Consider the following 24,911-nt stretch of genomic DNA (forward strand, 5'->3'; position numbering starts at 1 on the left):
TGCAGCATTATTTCTGGGCTCTCTATTCTGTTCCATTTGTCTATTGTTATACCAGTACCATACCGGTTTTGTTACACTAGCCTTGTAATATAGTTTGAGGTCAGGTAATGTGATGCTTCATGCTTTGTCCATTTTCCTTGGGATTGACTTAGCTATTTGTACTCTTTTTTAGTTCCATATGAATTTTAGAATAGACTCTTCTAATTCTGTGAAGAATGTCATTGATAATTTGATAGGAATAGCATTGAATCTATAAATTGCTTTGACAAGTATGGCCATTATAGCAATATTAATTCTTCGTTTACAAAGCATAGCATGTGTTTCCATTTGCTTGTGTATCTCAATTTCTTTTGGCAATGTTTTGTAATTCTTATGGTACAGATCTTTAACCTATCTCATCAGCTGTATTTCTAGTCTTTTTACTCTTTTGTGGCTATTGTGAATGAGATTGCATTCTTGATTTGGCTCTCAGCTTGGATGTTCTTGGTTTATAGAACCAAGATTTTTGCACATTGACTTTGTATCCTGAAACTTTGCTGAAGCTGTTTATCAGCTCTAGGGGTTTTAGGGCAGAGACTTTTGAGTTTTCTAAGTACAGAATCATATCATCTACAAACAAAGATAGTTTGGCTTCCTCTCTTCCTATTTGGATGCCTTTCCTTTCTCTTGCCTGATTGCTCTGGCTAGGACTTCCAGTACTATGTTGAATAGGAGGAGTGAGAGTGGGCATCCTTGTCTTGTTCCTGTTCTGAAGGGGAATGCTTACAGGTTTTGCCCGTTCAGTATGATGTTTGCTGTGGGTTTCTCATAGATGGACTCTTTATTATTTTGAGATATGTTGCCTCATTGCCTAGTTTGTTCAGGGTTTTTAACATGAAGTGATGTCAAATTTTATCAAAAGTCTTTTCTGCATCTATTGAGATGATCATGTGGTTTTTGGTTTTGCTTTTGTTAATGTGATGAATCACATTTACTGATTTGCATACATTGAACCAACCTTGCATCCCAGGGCTAAAGCCTACTTGATGGTTGTGGATTAGCATTTTGACAAAGTTGCTGGATTCCGTTTGCTAGTATTTTGTTGAGGATTTTTGCATCAACGTTTATCAAGCATATTGGCCTGAAGTTTTCTTTTTTTGTTGTGTCTCTGCCAAGTTTTGGTATCAGAATGATGCTGGCCTCATAGAATGAGTTAGGAAGGAGTCCCTCCTCCTCATGACCTTCGGAATAGCTTTACCAGTTCATTGTTTTGCCAGCTCTTGTATCTGATAAAATTCAGCTGTTAATCCATCTGGTCCTGGATTTTTTTTTTTTTTGGCTAATAGGCCCTTTATTACAGACTCAATCACAGAACTCATTATTGGTCTCTTCAGGGACTCAATTTCTTTCTGGTTCAATCTCTGGAGGTTGTACGTTTCCAGGAATGTATTTATTTATTCTAGGTTTTCTAGTCTCTGTGCATGCATAGAGGTGTTCATAGTACTCTGAGAGTTTTTTGATGTTTCTTTTGGGTTGATGGTAATGACCCTTTTGTCATTTCTGATCATGTTTATTGGGATCTTCTCTCTTTTTTTCTTTATTAGTCCAGTTAGCAGTCTATCAGTCTTATTTATTTTTCAAAGAAAAAACTGGACTCAGATCTTTTTTATGGTTTTTCACATCTTAATTTCCTTCAGCTCAGCTCTAATTTTGATTATTTGTTTTCTGCTAGCTTTGGGGTTGTTTGCTCTAGTCTTTCTAGTTTTTTTTTTTTTTTAATTGCAATGCTAGGTTGTTCAACTGAGACATTTCTAACTTTTTTATGTGGGTGTTTAGTCCTGTAAACTTTCCTCTTAACACTGCTTTAGCTGTATCCCAGAGATTCTGGTATGTTGTATCTTTGTTCTCATTAGTTTCAAAGAATTTCTTAATTTCTGCCTTAATTTCGTTGTTTACCCAAAAGTCATTCAGGAGGAGGCTGTTTAATTTCCATGTAATTGTATGGTTTTGAACAATTTTCTTAGTATTGATTTCCATTTTTATTGCACTGTGGTTCAAGAGTGTGGTTGCTATAATTTCTATTTTGGGTTTTTTAATTTGCTGAGAATTGTTTTATGGCTGATCATGTGGTCAATTTTAGAGTATGTCTCATATACAGATGAGAAGAGTGCACATTCTGTTGTTTCTTGGTTAAAAATTCTGTAGATATCTGTTTGGTCCATTTGGTCAAATATCGAGTGCAGGTCCTAAATATCTTTGTTAGTTTTCTGCCTTGATGTAAAGGGGGTGTTGAAGTTTCCCACTATTATTGTGTGACTAAGTTTCTTCATAGGCCTCTAAGAACTAGCTTTATGAACCTGGGTGCTCCAGTGTTGGGTGCATAGATATTTAGGATAGTTGTGTCTTCTTGTTGAATTGAGCTCTTTACCATTAGGTACTTCCCTTCTTTGTCATTTTTTATCATTTTTGGCTTAAAGTCTTTTTTCTTTGAAATTAGAATAGCAACCCATGCTTTTTTTTCAGATTGCTTGGTAGATATTTCTTCATTTCCTTACTTTGAGCCTATGGCTTTTATTCCATGTGTGATGGGTCTCTTGTAAACAGCATACAGTTGTTTCTTGCTTCTCTATCCAACTTGCCACTCTGTGCCTTTTAATTGGCCCATTTACATTCAAGGTTAATATTGATATATGCATATTTTATCCTGCCATCATGTTCTTAGCTGGTTACTTTGCAGACTTGATTGTGTGGCTGCTGTACAATGTTGATGGTCTATGTACTTAAGTGTGTTTTTGTGGTGGCTGGTAATGGTCTTTCCTTTCCATACTCAGCACTCACTTAATATCTCTTAAGACAGGCCTGGTGGTAATGAATTCTCTTAGCATTCATTTGTCTGAAAAGGATCTTATTTCTCCTTTGCTTATGAAGCTTAGTTTGGCTGGATATGAAATTCTTGGTTGGAATGTATTTTCTTTATAATTACTGAATACAGGCCTCCAATCTCTTCTGGCTTGTAGGTTTTCTGCTGAAAGGTCTGTTGTTAGCCTGATGGGGGTCCCTTTATAAGCGACCTACCTCTTCTCTCTAGCTGCTTTTAACAATTTTTCTTTCATTTTGTCCTTAGAGAATCTGATGACTATGTGTCTTAAGGATGGTTGTCTTGCATAGTATTTCACAGGGGTTCTCTGCATTTCCTGAATTTTAATGTTAGCCTCCCCAGTGAGATTGGGGAAATTTTCATGAATGGTATCCTTAGATATGTTTTCCAAGTTGTTGCTTTCTCTCCCTCTCATTCAGGGATGCCAATGAGTAACAGATTTTGTCTCTTCATATAATCCCATATTTCTCAGAGGTTTCTCACATTCTTTATTGTTTTTTCTTTATTTTTATGTGACTGAGTTATTTTGGAGAACTAGTCCTCAAACTCTGAAATTCTTTCCTCAGCTTGGTCTATTCTGCTTCTGAAATTCTTGAAGTGAATTTTTCATCTCTCTCAGATCAGTTTGGTTCTTTCTTAAAATGGCGATTTTATCTTTCATCTCCTGTATCATTTTATTGTATTCCTTAGATTCCTCAGATTGAGTATTTGATTTTCACCTGAATCTCTATCTTCATTCCTATCCATATTCTGAATTCTATTTCTGTCATTTCAGCCATTTTACCCTAGTTAAGAACCATTGCAGGGAAACTAGTGCAATTGTTTGGAGGTAAGAAGACACTCTGGCTTTTTGAGTTGCCAGAGTTCAAGCTCATGAAAACAGCTAAAATTCAAACAGACGAGAATGTAGACCTACTCATACATTGCTAATGGTAATATACATTGTTAAAAATTATTGTATGGTTTTTATTTCTCCTTCACAACTAATAAGCAGTTGGGAGAAACACTTTATAAGAATGTAAACATGCTGCTTCTTATAAAAATTTCTGCCTCGATTAAACATTTAACTGATAAGTTTTGCCTGAAACACTCTTCATTATAATGATTGTAAAATGATTTTCCATACCCCACATTCTCTCTACATTTACCAGTTAGCAAGAACTGTGAGCAGTAACTCCTTTCACCCCCATCTTCCACCTATCTACCTATTTATTATTAAGATAAATTAGTAGATTACTGATTTTTTGATGGTTGACCATTTACTACTGTTGATTATTTTGCACTCAAATTGTCCCAGATTTTGCCAGTAGGAATCCCTTTAAGTTAGCACCTGTGTCCTTGGGATATGCCTCAACATTATTAATTTTTTCAATTTCTTCACCTTTTGACTCTCTTTAAAATGTTTAGCAGCAAATCCAGCAGGAACGCATTTCTTCTTTTTATGAACTCTTTAATATCTAAATCTCCCCAAGCTCTCTTTCATACCTGTCGTAGCCCTCCTACTATACCAACACATTCCCACAAAGGAGAAAATTATTATTGCAGCTTTATCACCAGTACCTATGGCATAATATGCACCAGGTGCCCAAATACACACACACACACACACACACACACACAACACACATTTCCTTCTCTCCCTGCATCATTATCAGTCCCATAAAGGTAGCCATTAACTGTCACATTTCTATTTCATTGGTTCCCAGGACAGTGCTTTTTCATACAGCAGGTACTCAATAAGCATTTGTTGAATAAACTGAGAACATCGAGAGAGAGAGAGAGAATCTTCAAGGATAAATTCAAAAATGTTGGCAATGTTGGGCAATGAGGTGTAGAGTATGATGTGAAAAGACCAAAGCTCAACATGTTGTTTTTCCAATCAACTGTCCATTTTCTATGTGGTAGTGACACTGATTTCTGTGACCAATGCCCAAGTTTCTTGAGTGACTCAGGCTTGTGGCCTGAATATGCTGCCAAGAGCTAATTGCCTTTCATGCTGCTCTAACAGTAATGACAACCACCATTTATTGAGTGCATGGCATGCTCCAGGCAGTGAGATGGGTGGTGACCTTCCTTCAGTCAGTTCCCTGGACAATCATAGGAGCCAAGGAGTACACCATTTATGACTTCAAATTATTAACATTAAAATCAAATTTTACCAGAAAGTAATTTTCTTATATGGAGTCAGTTGTCTTCCCTAGTTATAAAGTTAAAGTCAATGTGGTAATTTGCTGGATGTTGTGTACTAATATTCAGTGTCTTCACCACCCTTCTATGGTTGCCCTTACACCATGGGATCTGAAAGCATTGAAAATGCGTAACTCAGTCTTCCCTTCCAACAGGGAGCTAGATTCAGACAATGACAGAGAATCTCTGGCATGAGTCCATTTTCATGCTGTCGATAAATACATACCCGAGACTGGGAAATTTACAAAATAAAAAGATTTAGTGGACGTATAGTTCCACATGGCTGGGGAGGTCTCACAATCGTGGCAGAAGGTGAAAGGCACATCTCACATGGTGGCAGACAAGTGAAGAGTGAGAGCAAAGTGAAAGGGGTTTCCCCTTATAAAACCAACAGATCTCATGAGGCTTGTTCACTACCATGACTACAGTAGGAGGGAAACCACCACCATGATCCAATTATCTCCCACTGAGTCCCACAACAATGGGAATTATGGGAGATACAATTCAAGATGAGATTTGGGTGGGGACACAGCCAAACTATATCAGTGGCACAGAAGAAAACTTCATCCCTATCACCCAGCACTACTATCACACAAGCACATACACAAGCACACACACCAGCACACACAAACATGCACACAAAACAGAAACAAATGCATACGCATCATCCCATTACTTAAGGGCAAGGCTTTCATTGGCTTGACTTCTCCTAACAGGGCCAGGCAGCAAAGTAGGGTCCTAATTATTACTGAATCAATTGATCTACTTTACTTATCAGAGCAAATTTACTAAATCAAACCATTATGCCAGCTGGGACAAAGTGACCTCTAGAAAGTCATTTTTTTTTATTCAGGACATGTTTTAAGCATACCCAGTCTCACTATTTGATTCTAAATGTTAGTGTAAATTTTATATTTTTAAGGGGGAAAAATCATCACCAAGGTAATTTTTAACACAAATGCTATTACCTGCCTTACTTTTTTCTTCCACAATTAGATAATCACCCAAATCCCAAAAACCTTAAAAGTTGGGTAGATAAAGATGGAGAAGAAAGACTTTTCAGGTTGAGAAACTATCCTAAATAAAAACATGGAAAACAAGGAAAAGAATATAGAAAGGGTTTTTTAGAGGCAGAGAGAAGACAGTGAAACATTTAAATACATTCAATTCAATTCAGATAGGAGTTCTGTTCTTTTAACTTATAGCTCCATTGAATATCCCAGCATTGTGAGAAATAGAAAAGAGATAATACATTCTTCTTGAACTCTGTAAATCTGAAATCTCACTTGTGCAATAACAGCTGCAGTTAGGATGACAAACTCTCAAATTTTGCCTGGGACAGAGGGATTTCCCAAGACATGGGATTTTTAGTATTAAAACCAAGAAAGTTCTGGGCAAACTGAGACAGCTTGGTTCTTCTACCTACAGGCATGAAAGAAAGATTTTAGAATGTCTTCTCAGTTTTACTTTAATAAAAACTCTAGAAGTAAATTATATTCATATAATCCTTTTCAGTTTATCAGAGTGTTTCTATACACATTAACTTAATTATCACAATAGCTCTTGGGTTAGTAATCCTCAACCTCAACTGTGCATTAAAATCACTTGGGGAGCTTTAAAAAATCTAGATGCTTGAGAATTACTTCATACAAATTAAATCAGGCGTCATATTTTGTGAAACTCCCTGATGAGTCCAATGTGCAACTGAGATTGAAAACCGCTGACTGGTTTAATTCTAAAGAGCTCGATTTTACAGAAGAACATAGAGTTTTAGAGTGATTGAGGTCACACAGTTATTTTGTAACAGAGTTGGAACATAATCCCTAATCTTCTACAGTAATAAAGAAGTTCTATTAACAACTAAAATTACTGTAATTCAGATAAATAATTAAGAATCAGAATCCCTTCCATGCCAAACTACAATTTGTCCCAGAGGTAGATTAAGAAGCCAAAGAAAGAAAATGAAAATAATTGGAGGAATATTATGGTTGAACCTCATTGTTCCAGCAGTAGAATTTCTCCTTTGGAAGAGAATTTACTGGGCATATATAAATTGTATGCTTGAAGTGAAAATGTTACCCACACAATGGGTGAGCTTTATTGCTTGTGGGTGACAGTCCAATGACCACAACCAAGGAGGACTTAACAAGGGGATTTTATTACTTTCAAAAGTAAGGACATCACGATAGTCCCCTCAAAGCAGTGCCCTCCTGAATAATGGTGAAAACAGGGCTTTTATTGGGCTGGTTGGCTGCATCATTGCATGAAGAGGTGCAGTAAAGTCGGTATAGGCACAGTCGCAGATCATGCTTCTACATATATTGCATATACAAAGAATGAAGAATAAGCTCCTCCCTGGGCAGGGTTTTTAGTATGGTAATGAGGGGAGTTCCCCAAAATTAATTTCCTACTCAGGTATTTTTGGATCCAAATGAGATGTTTTTGTATTTCCAGGGCTGAGCTTCTTCCTGGAACTTTTTGAAACAACTGGAACTCAAGGTGCAACAGTTACAAATAGGTACTTTTTCACAGTGTATACCCCAAACTGGGGACTATGGGTTACAAAAAGATGAGTTTCCCACCTCTTGCCCTGCTACCAAAGAGCATACTTAAGAAAAAACAAGGAGTCACAGTTTGGCTAATGACTACATTTATGTTTTACTGAGTGAAGTTCATAAGTTGAATTCAAAGCTGACTCACCTACAACAAAACTGGAATTTCTAGAAAGAGAGGCATCAAGTAAAAGCAAGATAAGAGCTATGAGAAAGAATGAAGATGAGTAACAGTCATGGGAAAGGAACCTTGTGAAGGAAAATCGGATATATTTATTGTAAAATCTGATTCTGCTTGCTCATTCCCCCAGAACACTTCAGTAAAATCTTCTTTCCTTTTTATTGAGTGTGGCATTAAACCAGGTTTGGAAGATGCAATTGTGTAGATGGGAGAATTGTCCCACCTGAGCTATATTAGGAATATTCGAACATTTCTATATTCACATAGTATATATTCATTAACCAACTACTATGTACTAGGTACCAGGATAGCCTCCAGAATAAAAAGATGAAAAAAGTGCCTCTTGCCCAGGGGAAGGTTACTTGCAATTCAGAGTTTGATAAGTCAGTCTTTACTTCTTAGTATTCCAATAGAACAAAGGTAGTGCTTCATAATTCCTTGTGAAATTAGAGACTTTTAGGGACTGTGCCACAGTTTCTGATAAATTAAAACTCATACCTCAAACAAAACATTCTAGGTGATACTATGCTTACACAGTGCTGCACTACTTTTATGTGCTTACAGTGGAACATTGGAGAAAACTGAGACCTCAGAAAAACTATCCGCTGAGATGAATATTGACCCATTGAACCTGAAGCTTACATTAAAGATGGGAAACATGTGAGTTACACTCAGCAGGTGGGCAATATTCATGTCCTACATGGTAGGATAGCCAAGGAAAGCTTTGCTGTCTGTGTACTGTGCAAATGCTTAAATGCAGCCAGTCCTCTGCAAGTCTCTGTTTGTTCTCAATAGTTCCTATACCCTGGCTTGATATGCTATGGCAAAAATCATCTAAGCATCTTTCTTCAAAACATGGAGCAGCACAGAAGAGGCACTGTTATGGTTAATGCTGTGTGTCAACTTGATTGGATTGAAGGATGCAAAGTATTGTTCCTGGGTGTGTCTGTGAGGGTATTGCCAAAGGAGATTAACATCTGAGTCAGTGGACTGGGAAAGGCAGACCCACCCTCAATGAAGGTGGGCACCATCGAATCAGCTGCCAGCATGGCCAGAATAAAAGCAGGCAGAAGAACATAGAGAAATTAGGCTGGCCTAGCCTCCAAGCCTACATCTATCTCCTGTGCTGGGTGCTTCCTGTCCTCAAACATTGGACTCCAACTTCTTCAGCTTTGGGACTCAGACTAGCTTTCTTGCTTGTCAGCTTGCAGATGGCCTATTGTGGGACCTTACGTTGTGATTGTGTGAGTTAATATTCCTGAATAAACTCCCCTTTATATACATACATATGTATATGTATGTATATATCCTATTAATTCTGTACATCTAGAGAACCCTGACTAATATAGACACTTAAGGAGCATACTTTCCTGTGTTAGAAACACATTTTAACTCTACAGATCATATCCAGGAGTTTGAATTAAAGGTTATATGGAAAAAACTAAGAGGGAGAATAATTCTTTTCTAATACTTGCAAACATCATTACCACAAAGGAAAATCTTTAAAAAGAAAAAATCATTAAGAGCATTTAAAATAGGGCAACAATAACTGTCAAAACTGTGAAATTAAGAGCAAGTTTAAGAGTTATGGTCCTCAGGAGTCGCCCAAGAGACACAAACCTACTATTTTTGAAGATGAATTTACAAGCCTTTAGTACTTAGAAATGGAACCTGGAACTGCATGCATGAACTTCAAATTTGCCCAGGAGTCACCAAAGGGATCATTCACTTATACACCCCTTTAATTCAGAATTCAGCCAAGATCCTGAACCACGATGATCACGTATGTTTTATAGTCCAACCACAAAGCAAGAAATCCTGGAATTTATCAATTTTAACAAGATGTATTAGTTCATTTTCACACTGTTGATAAAGACATACCCAAAACTGGGAACAGAAAGAGATTTAATAGGACTTATAGTTCCACATGGCTGCGGAGGCCTCAGAATCATGGCGAGAAGCAAAAGGCACTTCTTACATGGCAGCAGCAAGAGAAAGATGAGAGAGAAGAAAAAGTGGAAACCCCTGATAAACCCATCAGATCTCATGAGACTTATTCACTATCACGAGAATAGCATGGGTAAGATCTCATGAGACTTATTCACTATCACGAGAATAGCATGGGTAAGACCAGCCCCCATGATTCAATTACCTCCCCCTGGGTCATTCCCACAACATGTAGGAATTCTGGGAGATACAATTCAAGTTGAGATTTGGGTGGGGACACAGCCAAATCATATCACAAGAATATATTCATGATTAAAAATAAGTCATCACAAAAAACTAGATACCAGAGAGGAGAATTTGGTAGTCAAACTTTCTTTGTGCTTTGTTTAGAATAAATTGTTAAAGAAAGTGAGGGGAAGAGAAAGAGAGCCCATAAAGGATAAGAAACATTAGGGGATTACTTGAAAAGTACTGGAAGAAAACTTATTAAGTCAGAAAATTCTTCTACATATTAAGAAAAGTAGAGCATCCTCAGCAACATACAAAAAAAAAAAAAAGAGTGGGGTGGTTAAGACAATGCATCTTATGGGAATGAGCTTGAGCTTCAAGTTACTTTTCTTGCTGGGAGTGTTGTGAGACAGTTTTATAATCACTGGGTCTCAGTTTCCCTATTGTAAGTGTAGAATAAAATATATAATCAGTCTCACATTCTTTAACTCAGCTCTGGATGAATTTATAAATGAAACTAGAAGCCCTAAGCCACTGAAACAACTGTCACATCCAGTACCTAATAGTTAGCTTAGGTACTGGAGGGGACAAAACCCTGAGCTGGTTGTTAAAATTTGTCAGTAGTTAAGGAATGGGTGAGAAAATATTTACATACAAAACAAATAAATTCTATCTATAGTTATTCTATACAATGTCATCAGAGAGGTGAACAAATCTAAAACTTACAGAGATTTGGTTTAATAATTACAAGGACTTGTAACCTTGGAGAGTTTTTTAAAAAAATTATAGGAAACCACATTTATTAAATTATTTGTTGTAGAAAATCATGTTTGTCCACTTCAAGATGAAAGTACTATCATAGCAAGTTGACTTCACACTCAAGCCACTAACCATAACCTTATTTCAATTAGTGTGCATACATTCCTAAAATTAGGAAGAGAATTAAAGACATAACTTTTTGCAAAAATTTTGTTTACAAGTAAAATTAAGTGACTGTAAAAGACAAGCTTTAAAACACAACACAAAGTCTCGGTTTGCCACTATAAACAGGACTCTCCTTATAGGCCATTAAAAGGATTAAATGAGAAAAATGTGTAAAGTGCTCTGTGTCAGTGTGATACACACCAAGGACTTAGTGTTCTATTACTATGTTAGCTCAGCAACTAGGGTGTGTTCCTAGTATGGACTGAATTGCCCCGCCCCCTGCTCAAATTCATATGTTGAAGCCTTAACACCCATGTGACTGTATTTGGAGACAGGTCTTTCAGAGATAACTAAGGTTAAACGAAATCTTAAAGGTGAGGCCCTGATCCTATAGGACTGTGGCAAGAGAGAGATCTCTCTCTTTCTATCTTCCAGATGAGGACACAGCAAGAAGGCCCCTTTCTATAAGCCAGGAGAAGAGCCCTCACTAGAAACCGAATCAGTAGGCACTTTGACCTTGGACTTCCCAGCCCCTAACATTGTGAAAAATAAATTTCTGTTGTGTAAGCCACCGAGTCTATGGTATTTTTTAATGGGAGCCCAAGCAGACTGATACAGTTTCCATACTACGATACTCCATATCACCAAATTCTCTTTCCTTACACCTATCACCCTTCACTATCATGTGTTTAATCAAACGGTGGAATGAAATAATCTCTTCACAGTAGGAGAGATGCATGGTTTATAATTAGTCCAATGCTTCAGGTCTGTACAACTCCAAGTCTCTCTATCTGAAATGGGCTGGTTTCAAACTGCCTTTCTTTCTTAAGAATCAGTTTCTCAGGTGCTGCTTTCATATTTGAATTCAAGAGCATCCTTCCATATGTGTCTATAGCCCAAGTCTATGCATTGCGCCTCTTCAGGTTGTAGTGAAAAAAAAGTTATTGCTCACTTGGGGTATTAATCAGGGTTCTCCAGGGAGACAGAACTAATAGGATATATGTATATATGAAAGGGGAGAATTGGCTCACACAATCACAGGGTGAAGTCCCACAATAGGCCATCTGCAAGCTAGGAACGAAAGAAGCCAGGAGTGGCTCAGTCTGAGTCCAAAAGCCTCAAAAGCAGGGAATAGGGAGGCTGACAGTGTAGCCTTCAGTCTGTGGCCTTAGGCCCAAGGGCCCCAGGCAAACAAACCACGGGTGTAAGTTCAAGAGTCCAAAGGCCGAAGAACCTGGAGTCTGATGTCCAAGGGCAGGAGGGTGGGAGGAACAGAAGGAAACATCCAGCATGGGAATAAGATGAAAGCCAGAAGACTCAGCAAGCCAGCTCATTCCACCTTCTTTCACCTGCTTTGTTCTAGTCACACTGGCAGCTGATTGGATGCTGCCCACCCACATTGAGGTTGGGTCTTCCTCTCTCAGTCCACTAACTCAAATGTCAATCTCCTCTGGCAACACCCTCACAGACACACCCAGAAACAACATTTTACCAGCTATCTAGGCATCCTTCAATCCAATCTAGTTGACACCTAATATTAACCATGAGATTTGGTAACCTATCAAGAGTTTCATTTGGGCTATCTAAGCAGTTACCACCATCCCTACAAGAAGTGGATCTATCCTGCCTTAAATAATACATCTATTCCACAACAGGCCCCGGTGTGTGATGTTTCCCTTCCTGTGTCCAAGTGTTCTCTAGGAGATATACCTAATGTAAATGATGAGTTAATGGGTGCAGCACACCAACATGGCACATGTATACATATGTAACAAACCTGCACATTGTGCACATGTACCCTAGAACTTAAAGTATAATAAAATATATATATGTATGTATATGTATATATATATATAAAATACATCTATTCATTCAGAGCTTGTCCCTCAGATGCCTCATGATTAAGATGAGAAAGTTCTTGGGAAGAATCTCTAGCTTCTTTTTGCCACTTTGTAGAAACCTATGCTATTTAATTCTGCTCATGTGCTGAAGTTATTTGTTCATCCACTCATTTAGTTATTCTCATTGTTTATTGAATATGTTTTAGGTATAAAATCCATGACAGAGGAAATATTTTTTAATTTAGTCTTGGGAACAAACAAAAAAGTTAAAAGGCAAATATATAATTTAGAATTGTAATAAATATTATAAAGAATAAAGGGCATACTATGTGTGATGGTTAATATTGAGTGTCAACCTCATTGGACGGAAGGGTGCAGTGTTGTTCCTGGGTGTGTCTGTGAGGGTGTTGCCAAGGAGATTAACATATGAGTCAGTGGACTGGGAGAGGCAGACCCACCCTCAGTCTGGGCACCATCTAATTAGCTGCTACCATGAAAGCAGGAACGGAAAGGACAGATTTGCTGAGTCTTCCAGCCTTCATCTTTCTCTCGTGTTGGATGCTTCCTGCTCTCGAACATCAGACTCCAAGTTCTTCAGCTTTTGGACTCTTGGACTTACACCGGTGATTTGCCAGGGGCTTTCAGGCCTTCAGCCACAGACTGAAGGGTACACTATCAGCTTCCCTACTTTTGAGGTTTTAGGACTCAGACTGGCTTCCTGGATCCTCAGTTTGCCGATGGCCTATTATGGGATCACCCTATGATCCTGTGGGTCAATTTTCCTAATAAACTCCCCTTCATATATTCATCTATCCTATTGTGTCCCTTTAGAGACCCCTGATTAATGCGCTATGAGAAATGATGGAAGTTTCTTAGTGGGTCAATCGGAATGACCTCAGAAGAAAAGAGAACACGTGGACACATAGAGGGGAACAACACACACTGGGGCCTCTTGGAGAAAGGAGGGTGGGAGGAGGGAGATGATCAGGAAAAATAACTAACGGGTATTAGGTATAACACCTGGGTGATGAAATAATCTGTATAACAAACAGGTACATGTACCCTTGGTCTTAAAAACGAAAGTTTTAAAAAGATGTAAAAAAAAAATAATAAAGGAGGAAACAAAAATTTTCATGCAAAGACCTAGGCTGAGATGAGAATATGGGGCAGTGTTCAGGCAGACAAACAGCCTATCCAAGTTTCTGCATCAGGAAGAAGCCTGGGGCGTTTGAGGAGCTGATTGGAGCTGAGTGGTCTGGGAAGGAATTAGCATAAAACGATGTTTGATAGATCATCTCGGATTTTGTAGAACAAGATGAGGAGGGTTTTTTTTTTTTTTTTTAATTCTAAGTGCAATTGATAACATTTTGAGACTGTAACCAGGAACATTTTGTAACTACATTTATGTTTTTGAAAATCACTCTCACTCCTCTGCAGAGAGTGAGTTGTTGGAATAAGAAAATAATTCTGTTACCAGACAGCAAATTTGACTGAAATTCAGTAGAAACAGCAAGCTGAACATGTGTTCCCATCATTAACTAAAAAACAGTCAGGCCTGAGTTCCAAATGAAAAAGGAATTGACAGAAACATAAACCCATGGGTAGCTAATGTCTACATCAATGTGTGTATTCAAAAACTGTTGAATAAAGGACCAAATTCCTTTGGTTCTGTGGGGCAAAAAGACACCATTTCCTCTCTATGTTCAGTTACCCCATGAGAATTGGGGAGGGGTGGACTGTTGCCATATTCTTTCCTTTGAATTCCAGAATAAGAATAAATGCGGATTTACAACAGTCACACGTGCCCTTATTAGCAGATGTTTCGTGTATGTTCCAGGGCAACAATGAGTAGTTACATTGGATACAACTGAATAGCTTATTCATTATAATCACCAGAGATTCAGACATGTATGTCTCAGGATTAACATCTTTAGTCTCCAGTTTTCCAGCACATCATAATAACTGTGTTTCACAACTGAGTCAACTGAATAGTTACAGAAACTGTTTTACACACACACACACACACACACACACACACACACAACCATGCAAGTTTAGGCAAACATAACTAAAATATGCATTCAAGGGCAAAATAAACTAAAATATTCTCCTCAATAAGTCTTGAGTAGTTCTTTAAAGTTTGCACTTTCATCCTCTGGGTCATAATTTTAATAACATTCTTGAGAATCTTCACTTTTGAATTTGTATTTATGTTTATCCTTAAAAAATCAAGAATTCTTTTGTGTTGGGGTTTATTTTGATAAATGTATATAACACTGATTATTATGCAAGCAACACTAGACAATGTTTGAACATTAAACTCATTATAAATTCTTTCTTCTAGACCTAAATATCTGTTTGAATACCATAACAACTTTCAAAATATCTCTTCTTAGTGGGCAAATAGCAAGCCATATTTTTAAATATTTTATTAGTAGAAGATTTGAGGTTGACAGAAGCCAGCATAAACAAATTTACACTTACAGTTATGCCAAAAAGAAAATCAACCTCTAAATTCTTGTAACTGTTTTGGCAATTTATTCCCATGATTAACTATGGAGAAGCATCATAAATAGTGTTTTTTCTACAAAATTCCAAATCTTATCAATAGTGTTTAGAAACCACAAAATTTTTAATTAGTACTTAAACAGGTCTTTGAACTCTTCAACTATTTCTGTGTATAAAGCATGAAACCTAACAAAAAGAGACCAGCATAAAAGGTTCAAAAGAATCAGAATCTCCATCAGTTTGACTGCCTGTTTTCTTTCTTTTTAATTAATTTTTTTAAGCTAATATATTAAGATTATATTTCTCTTCAGAGTCATTTTTACCTTTTCTCTGTTAATTCCATCAACAAAATGTGGGAAAAAATGATGACAATTGACAGTACACACCCTCTGGGTATTATTGTCAAGTCATTTTAAATTTAGGTTTATTACAAAAGTTAACTTGAGGGTCTAAATTGTTTAAAAAATATCTAAGAAGTAGCTCTGATTTATCAGTTTCCTTTTATTTAGTGGCTTGGGTCACATATGAAAGCATAGGGTATAAAAGGAGAGACAAAAAATGGGAAGATGATAGAATATGGAGGTGAAAGAAAAATTAACAAAACTATATAGAAACTTTGTGGGGGGCAGAGACAAAAAGAAAGAAAAGAAGAAAGGACAAAGTATTTGAGGGATGTGGTTGTCTAGGACTACCCCATAAATATTTGACAAAAAAGAACAGTGGCTTCGATACCAATTACGCCTAAGAATAAATAAAACATTTAAAAAGAAAAACTCAGGCACAATGTGCATTTAAAGACATCAGTGAAATTATCATTGGTGCTAAAAAACAAACTTGCCAAATTATTAGGTTTCTAAACTACTAACATTCTGCACATTCTAACTTGGCCTTACTCCTTTGGAGACAAAAATTAAAAACCCAACTTAATGAGTTAGAAATAACCAATTCTAAGTAAGAACATTTCACATCTACATTCTTACAGCATAGCTCATCATGGGAGAGGAAAATAAGATCAATGCAAATTATTTCCAATTAAGTTCACCTTGAAGACTTGTCACCAGGGGCTATTTTACTGTCTATCATTGGCAGTTATCATTGGCAAGTGGTCAGTACTTCCTTCCCAAACAATCTTGAACCTATTCAAGAGCTCTCTTGCTTAGAAGGATTAAATCAATGTTATAACAAATGTTATATTTTAATTTTGTAACTAAGTTACTCAAATTAGCCAAAAAAATCTAATTTTTGAGACCCTCATCTGATGGTTACTTAAAAAAAAGTGAGAACTCAGAAAGAAATTCAATATTGAAATGAGAAAATCATTTATTTTCATAAAAATTTTGGAATGACCATGTTTTCATTACGTCTTGCCAAGCTTTATTCTCAAGATAAACATGGCTGAGATTAGAAGGGCAGTGTGATGTATAAGGCAATTGCCTAAGAGCCGGAGGACTGGAGTTCGGTCCATGGTTCCTATGATGACTTGGTTTGTGGCCAGAGCAAATTTCCTCATGGCAGCTTGGACATCACCAATAGAGTGGAGGTCCAAGAGAAATGCCTCTTAGACTTATTCAGTGTTAGTCATAATCATATCAATCATGAGTGGGTTCATTTTCTATCAGATGTGACATGATAGGTTTTTAACGAATTTTATTGTATCAAAATGAGAATTTTTCCCATTGAAATAAAAGTTTACTCCTCATATTGCAATATATTTATTCTTTCTACAAGATAATTGTCCCTCCACAAGTAGAAGGGCATGGTTAAAATTAGTCGCAGGACAAAGCAGTTTGACTTTGACCTTTTCAAACTACTTCAGTGACTAGCATTTCAAAATATGTGCCACTTGGACAATTTCTCTATATTCAAAGATAAGATGTGGAAATTGGACTTGTCAGCCTCCCTTTTAAGCTTCTTACACAGCTATTATTTTATGGGTGTGTTGGGTAAAAGAAGAAATATCTTCTAATTAAAGTTAATACAAGAACCCTTTGAAATAATGACTCCACTTATATCTGTTAAAGGCTTTCCTGATATAAGAAAACAATGGAGGAAACACCCAGAGCCTCAAAGTTGCTTCATTATCATTGCCTTTCACAAGAACTGTAGGAAAGTTGATCAAAACGTCCTCAAAGCACTTGCCCATTTGTCTTTGTTGGTAAGTTTCTAACCAAAGACTTGCTAGCCCCCAGTACTAAGGTGGTTGTATAAGCACAGCAGTGTGAAACCCATATAGCATGAGTAGTACAATCTTGGTGGTGTAATAGAGGGGTACCACTTCCTACCACTTGTTTATATTATGCTTTGTAGTGTTTTCATTAGATTGCATAGTCAACAAGCACTTTTTGGATTTCTGTTATATGTCAAGTGCTGGGACAGGACCTGGAGAACAAGAAGAATAATAGAGGAAACTCCCTATTCTCGTATATTATATACTGTCACAGGGTAGGAGGATAATGAAATAGGCAATTCCAATACTGTATGATAAAGGTTATAATACAGGAAGTTCAAGAGCAACCAGCAGGAATATGTAACCCATTCTAAGAGTAGCAATTGAGGCTTGCACAGTCAATTCCGACTATTAGCAGATTCTGTATTTGCAAAATAATCTATCACTAAAATGTGCTTGGAACCCCAGAATCAATACTTACAGCACTTTCCCATCATTTACAGACATGCTCAAAATGGCGTGCATTTTGACTGCCTCAACTCACATGTTTGCAGGTGAGCATGAACCAGGTGGAACCCTTCCTCTTTGTTTCGGCTCTTATATATACATGAGTAGAAGATGGAGATGTAAGGAATGCACCACCTGGTGCAAAGAGCTCCAACACTGCTCCAGCTGAATCGGGTTTCAATCTCAACTCCGGCCCCTGTTAGTAGGGCAGCTTCAGGCAAGTCACTTAACATTTCTGGACCTTGTTTACTCTTTCGTAGAATAAAGAAAACAGAATCCACCAGGATGAGTTATTTTTAGGATTTAAGATTATAATCTTTACATACATATCCTCTAGGAGCAATGGTTTAATATCTGCTAATGCAGTGTTGCAGCAACTTTATAAAACATAAATACCTTAAATAACAAGAATCAGCTTTAAATAAATAGCTATTAAAAGCCTGCAAAAGACATTAAAATAGGGGCAAAAGATTTCAAAGGCCAGTGGTAGCTTCTGCCTTTGAAGAAATGAAGATTCAGAATGAAAATTAAGCTTCATGCTCAAGGGAGAAAGTGGTAAAATATAAAATCCCAGCAAGCAGGGACAAATTATAAAGAGCTTATTGTGATCTTGAAATGAAGAGCTTGGAATTTATCCTAATGGGCATTGAGAAGCTCAGTTGAAAGATTTTTATTAGGGGAGTTCCACAGTTAGATGTAACCCAAGAAAATTGTACCAAGAGATATAGGTCTGCCATTGAGGAGTTTTGAGGTCTGTTGCTACTGATGGCACCCTTTCAGGAAGAAAGGGGGACTTTTTTGTCTTAAACATTATTGAAGAGAGAAAAAGAAGAAAAAGTAGAACAATAACTCTGAAGAGAACATAATGGAAACTACCAGAGAATGGAAAAGTAGTCTTTCTTCTAAGAAATCATTCCAGGTTCCACATGGTAAAATACAAGGTGAACATAAACAATATGGTATTACACAAAGCTGAAAAATCAACTTCTGGAGAAGCAGAAAATATTTTAGAAGGGCAGGAGAAAGGAAAAACCTGAATAATAGCCCAATTATGTCAACCAGGGTAGGCAAGTGTCTTATTTATTAAAGCACAGTGCCTGACTCTTAATATCTTCTATATATGCTAATGGTTTGCTCAAAAGGGGAGCTGTAGATGAAGTCTAAGTAGCAAAGGTCTTCACATTTTACGTATCCCAACCTCACCAAAAGGCACACATAGGGTCCAAAATTTGTGTGCATTTTGGAGAAAGAAAAGGAGAAATGAAAATACTTTTAGCTTCAGAGACAAAAAGAAAATTAATGTTGCTAATAATTTCTCAATATTAACTTTATACAATGGAGCTATAGTTTTATTATAGTTATTTCTCTGTTTTATTTCTCTATTTTATTTTCTCTGTTTTATTTTAGTTACTACAGGATTGAAAAAAGAGATATGTCAACCTATCTAGATTAGTTGAAGCTTAGATTAGAGAAAATTCGTTAAAGTTTATAATCTGTTAAAAACAGTAAAAATTTGAAGAATACTCTTTGGTCTTCCCCTATAAAACTATGAATTTCTTGAAGGTGAATACTATGTATTGTTAATGTATTCTAATTTTTGCCACCTAACAGTCCTGGCAACGTTGAGAACGTTGTCTAATTTCTCTGAGCCTGAGTTTCCTCATTCTAAAACGGAAATATTACTTAAATTATATGACTGTTGTAAAGATTAAGTGAAATAATGAACTAATGTAATCACTGCATAGTTAATGGTCAGTCAACTTAGATATTGTATAATGATGATGTACCTTTAACACTTGATATAATGTTTAATCCACAAAGGAAACACATGGTAGGTGGAAGAATGGAAGGTTGGATGACTGATATATTATGTTTACTCAACTAAGAAGATCCTTAAGGAATGCCTTAATGTACATTTTGTGAGTGTTTTGAATGAGTTAACTGGTTAATGTCAGCAGAAAATCAACATATTTTAGCTACCATCAAATTTGTCTGATAAGCAGATCCAAGCAATATATTTATTCTATACCAGCAGTAAAAATAAAACCTGGATATGAAATGTGTAAATAACATGGACCATTAATACCATTAATAAAATTCCATTTATTCTCCTAAATTTCCTACAAAGTATTATTCCTCCTCCTCTTAGTAGACCTACTCCACTTAATAAATGAAGAAATTGAGTCCTGGAAAGAGGAAGAAATTGGGCTGACCGTGCACCAGGCAGGTGATATATATGAATGGAGTAGGCTGAGTGTGGAGGAATGACGAGAACTATTGTTGCATGAAATGACAGTCTTCCAACAGAACAGGGCTTCAAACTTTCCAAGAGATTCTGGAAACTGCAGTTTTAATGTGAAATAGCCTAATGTGTACTCTTTGTCCATAAGCCAATGCGGCCACTCAGTGTAGAATATTTGCCTTCAAAAAGTAAGTTGGAGGCTGAGCACAGTAGCTCATGCCTGTATAATCTCAGCACATTAAGAGGCCCGGGTGGGAGGATTACTTGAGCCCAGGAATTCAAGACCAGCCTGGGCAACATAGTTTGACCCTGTCTTTACAAAAAAAAAAAAAGAAGGAAAATTAAAAATTAGTTGGGCATGGTGGCATGTGCCTGTGGTCCCAGCTACTCAGGAAGCTGAGGCAGGACGATCGCCTGAGCCCAGGAGGTCAATGCTGCAGTGAGCTATGATCACACCACTGCACTCCAGCTTGGCAACAGAGTGAGACCCTGTCTCAAACAACAAGAACTAAGTTGGAACAGACCCAGGCACCTCAGACCCAAGCCTTCTGCCTCTTTATTTGGTGTGCTCTTCTTACAACACTCTCCTGGATAAAGACTATATCACAAGTGTATATAGGATACATATAGGATACAGATAGGGCAGCCAGATGGCAAAGGGACCTAACAAGAGAGCTCTATCAACAAGCAGAGAGAAAATAGGTGCTTATAGAAGAAGACATTTTAGACATAACTGTCATCCGCAATAAGATTAACTCCTAACATTTGCTCTCAGGAAGACTCTTTCAATTCGATTTACTTGAAAGGAAAAATTACACAAGAGAAAGCTCTCCTTTCAGTTTCACATCTGTTAAAGTCTACAGCAAAAGGCATTTCAGGATAGAAATAGAAGTAAACAGCCAGGTACCCCAGGGCTTTTTATTATGTGTGTTTGGAGTCTTTATATATTCATTTAATAAACAGTTACTGGGTATTTCAATGAGCGTGGCACTGAGCTTGATGCAGTCAGGCCATGACTTACTGTTTAAGAGGCTTGTGTTTTATGAGGCAAAAGACTTGGTTATAATACAATGAAAGCCAGTATAAAAGAGGTTTGTGCTATGACCAAAACACCACTAAAGTTCTCCCCAGCTTGATTCAACTTTAGAAAGATTTCTTCCTGACTAGAGGCCCCTGACCTCCTTTTCTTAGACCATTTATGGTAGGAAACTTTTAATTGTAAATTCTTTCTTGACTCTTTGAGATGCAAATCTTCTCCCAATCTCCTGCCAGTTTTACAACCCAAGAATGTCTTTCTCAAGGACCTGGGAGCTGTCCCTTTGAAATGTAATTATCAAGAAAGAGAGAGACCCCATCTCCCAGTTTCTATGAGAGAATAGGAGCTTAACTTAGACAAGCAACAGTTAGCAAACACAGATGACCTAATCAAATTGACTAACCACCCTGCTAAAGTCTTCCAGGACTTTTCCACTAGCTCACCCAGTGCTCAAAAATCAGCCTGCTTTTGTTTGAGCAGAATTGAGTTCAATCTTCATCCTCTATTGCAAAAGTCTTAAATGAAGTCTTCCTTACCTGGTGTAGTTTTCTTGTCAGCTTGGAGAGGGAGAACGGAGTCCTTGATAACTGAAGAGGAAGTATACAAACTTCATATCAGAGGCTATTAAGCAGGAACTTTTGAAAGATAAACGTGAATTGCACTCATCGAATAATATAAGATACTTCAAGCACTAAATGTCCCTAGAAACATCACAGAGGCATGAGAGAGGCATGCTTGGAAAATGGCTTGAAATGACTTGTGGGCTGTGAAAAAGCTGACGCTCTTATTGTGAAAGTTTCTGCGGCTCTTATTTCTGCTCTACTTCCCAATTCTGGCTTGAACTTTTCATTTTAATGTAATAGTTATCCCAATTTTTTAAAAAGATGGGATCTGTAATGGCAAGCATTCCCAACAAGAATTCATGTAATTCCATAAATAAACTAATGTTTATTGAGTGCCTACAATATGCCAGGCAAACAGATACAGGTACTCTTGTTATAGAAAGGGTTAAGAGAATGGGCTCTGCAGTCGGTCAATTTGGCTTCAAAGCAGTACTTTGTGCCAGTTGTGTGACTGTGTGAACTTGGGCAAGTGACCTGGCCTCTCACGACTCTTCTGTTTTCTCATCTGTAAAATAGTTGTATATAATTTTCTTAGTTGTTAAAAAGACCAAATGGATTAATACAGTAAAATAATATATAACAATGCCTGGTACACACTAATTGCTTTAAATATTAGCTATCATCTAAAATTTATTAAAACCAAGCTTAAAACTATATTTATGACTAGCTAATGCTCATATCATGAAAACACTATTGCCAAAAGTGAAAACTTAGGAGAAGTCATTGCTTTAAAAAACTGCCTTTTGTATACCTTCTTTCTGAATATTCTCACATTAGAAAGAGAGAGAGAGTTTTCTGCCAATGGATATCCCCAACTTCTACTCTCTCACTATAAACATGCATGGTCCAGGATCTTGTGCTTAGTATAACAATTTCACCTCAACTCTGCTCAGGGTTTTTCTCAGCTTCCACTAAACTGGTTTGCACTTGCTGCTTGGCCCATCAGAGTTAGTTAAGGAAAGACCTGAGTTCACTTTGTCTTCTCATGATCTATGAAATGTGACGTCTTTATCTCCTTTATATTCTATTCCATTCTACAATGGAAAGAGAAGGGAGAGGTAGAATGGGAGAGCATGAGCAGGAGAGGGAATGGTGTGCAGAGAATAAGCATGAGCAAGCAAAGTCAATCCTGTGACTAACCTGGAAGCCAGTTTTGCAACATGGCTAACCTCATAGGTTCCAGAGGTAGGCTACCTGGGTTAAAACCCAGCCCCACAAGCCATGTGACCCTGGGAAAATGACTTACCTCTCTGTTCCTTAGATTACTAACCTGTACATCATGGGTAATAACAGCACTCGTGTCATGTAGTTGTTGCAAAAATTAAATGAGTTACAGTATAATATAAGGCACCTGGAGCTGAACCTGGCACCTTCAGCTCTAATCATTAATCTAATTAGAGTTCCCTGCTGACATTCTTCTCTTCTTCATAAGTTTCCTAATTTTTTTCTGACAATTTTTTTATTTGAAATTAATACGCTGAGTACTGTGCACTGAATGGAAATCTTTGATCATCTTACAAATCATCACACAGACCAAAATGAGTGTTCCGTTATAGTTGTTGTTTATCTCACTAAACCTTAAGTTCTTCATTAAACCTTGCAGTCCCATATCCAGCACAAAGTTGGTGGCCAGTAAATGTTTGTTGATTTAATGATACATACTAAACATACTATGAAAATTTAATTATACATAATACATACTATACTTATTTATAATAAAAATATTAGTTCACAAATACTTTAAAACATCACATTTATTTTAAAAATAGACAAAGTGCATAATAAAGCAAAATAATTCATTCCAAAAAGTATTTTAAACAGAAACAGTATACCTGAATGTCATTTGCATATGAAATTAATTAAAGGATACTATACACTATAAAATGCATAATAATGCTTATTAGTTTATAACATAATATGGGAAGAGAAAGTTTATATCTTATTGTCCTGCCTTTGTTTTGTCAATTCCAGAATTATTCACTGTATCTAGATATTAATGAAGGCTTTCTTGCCAAAGCTTTGGAAAGAAGAAGGGTGAGTTATCCCCTCATGAACTGGTTAAATAACAAGTACTGCTCACAGAGCTGTTCTGATTCCTGTGGAGCCCAAGAGGTAAGCTTGTTACAACACTAAAGCAAGAATGTCCAGTCTTATATGAGAGCCACTATCTTGGCTATGAGGAGTCCTATCTAGATAAGTACTCCTTGAAATTAGATAGCGGCATCTCTAGGTAAGTACTCCTTGAAATTAACAGAAGGTCAGAAATGTGTGCTATTATTAGAATTGATCAAATAGGCTCAGTTGGCAAAGATGAAAAAAAGATTTACAAAATCAATTGCTTCCTCCTAACTCTCTATTGAGTTGGGACTTTGGGAGGGATCAGACAGATAATGGGAACTGGAGAAGTTTTGAAGTGTAACAATAAATAGGTAACTGGAAAGATGTGCCTATGAAGAAAACTTCAAAAGGGTGACATAGAGATAGCACAAACAACCAGCAAAAGTTGTTGAGTCCAAACACGTGGATGAAAAGTAAAAACTAGAGCCTGGCAACTGAAAATTATTAAAGATGAAGATTATATTCAAGGAGACAGAAGTTGCCTGTTTGCGAGAGACACACAGGGAAAATAAATAGATATAAAGTTTACTGGGACTCTGGACCATTGGATCATGCAATTATTTTCTATAAGACTCATGAAAAGAGTAGATGCTCTTTTTCACCAACTTACCTTAACATAAATAGTCTTTCTGAAAATAAAAAATTAAAGAGTCAACATAGGGCATCTATTATTTGCTGTTTACTCATTCTCTTAAAAAATACAATGAGAGATATAAAGAGATAAAACTACTATATTTAGGTCATAAAAGTCATTAAAGAAAAACCTCAAATTCAGAATTCAAATCTTCTAACTATTAATCTATGCCTTTTAAGACCACAATCAATGACTAAATTTTTGTTTTTCACTTAATTTTTTGTCTTCCTTTTCTTTTTTTTTTTTTTTTTGAGACAGAGTTTCGCCCTGTCACCCAGGCTGGAGCGCCGTGACGCAATCTCGGCTCTCTGCAAGCTCCGCTTCCCGGATTCACACCATTCTCCTGCCTCAGCCTCCCG

At 36.9% G+C, this 24,911-nt stretch overlaps 1 long non-coding RNA gene across 1 annotated transcript in view, besides 1 other annotated feature; it reads right to left on the bottom strand.

Moving 5' to 3' along the window:
• The window catches only part of LOC105375733 (uncharacterized), a 41,305-nt gene extending 19,012 nt beyond the window's left edge, over positions 1-22,293 (bottom strand). Inside the window, exon 1 of the long non-coding RNA XR_928599.4 lies at positions 21,714-22,293. This is a non-coding gene — a long non-coding RNA (uncharacterized LOC105375733). The remainder of the gene's footprint in view (positions 1-21,713) is intronic.
• Positions 21,104-21,774: an enhancer, noted in NCBI's record as "OCT4-NANOG hESC enhancer chr8:123391043-123391713 (GRCh37/hg19 assembly coordinates)". NCBI's record gives its function as "activates a minimal SCP1, AML or CMV promoter by ChIP-STARR-seq in naive H9 embryonic stem cells {active_cell/tissue: H9 hESC(naive)}" and the evidence as "EXISTENCE:reporter gene assay evidence [ECO:0000049][PMID:30033119]".
• Positions 22,294-24,911: the final 2,618 nt, after the last annotated feature.

This window comes from Homo sapiens, chromosome 8 (genome assembly GCF_000001405.40).
Source record: "Homo sapiens chromosome 8, GRCh38.p14 Primary Assembly".
NCBI classification, from domain to species: Eukaryota; Metazoa; Chordata; class Mammalia; order Primates; family Hominidae; genus Homo; species Homo sapiens.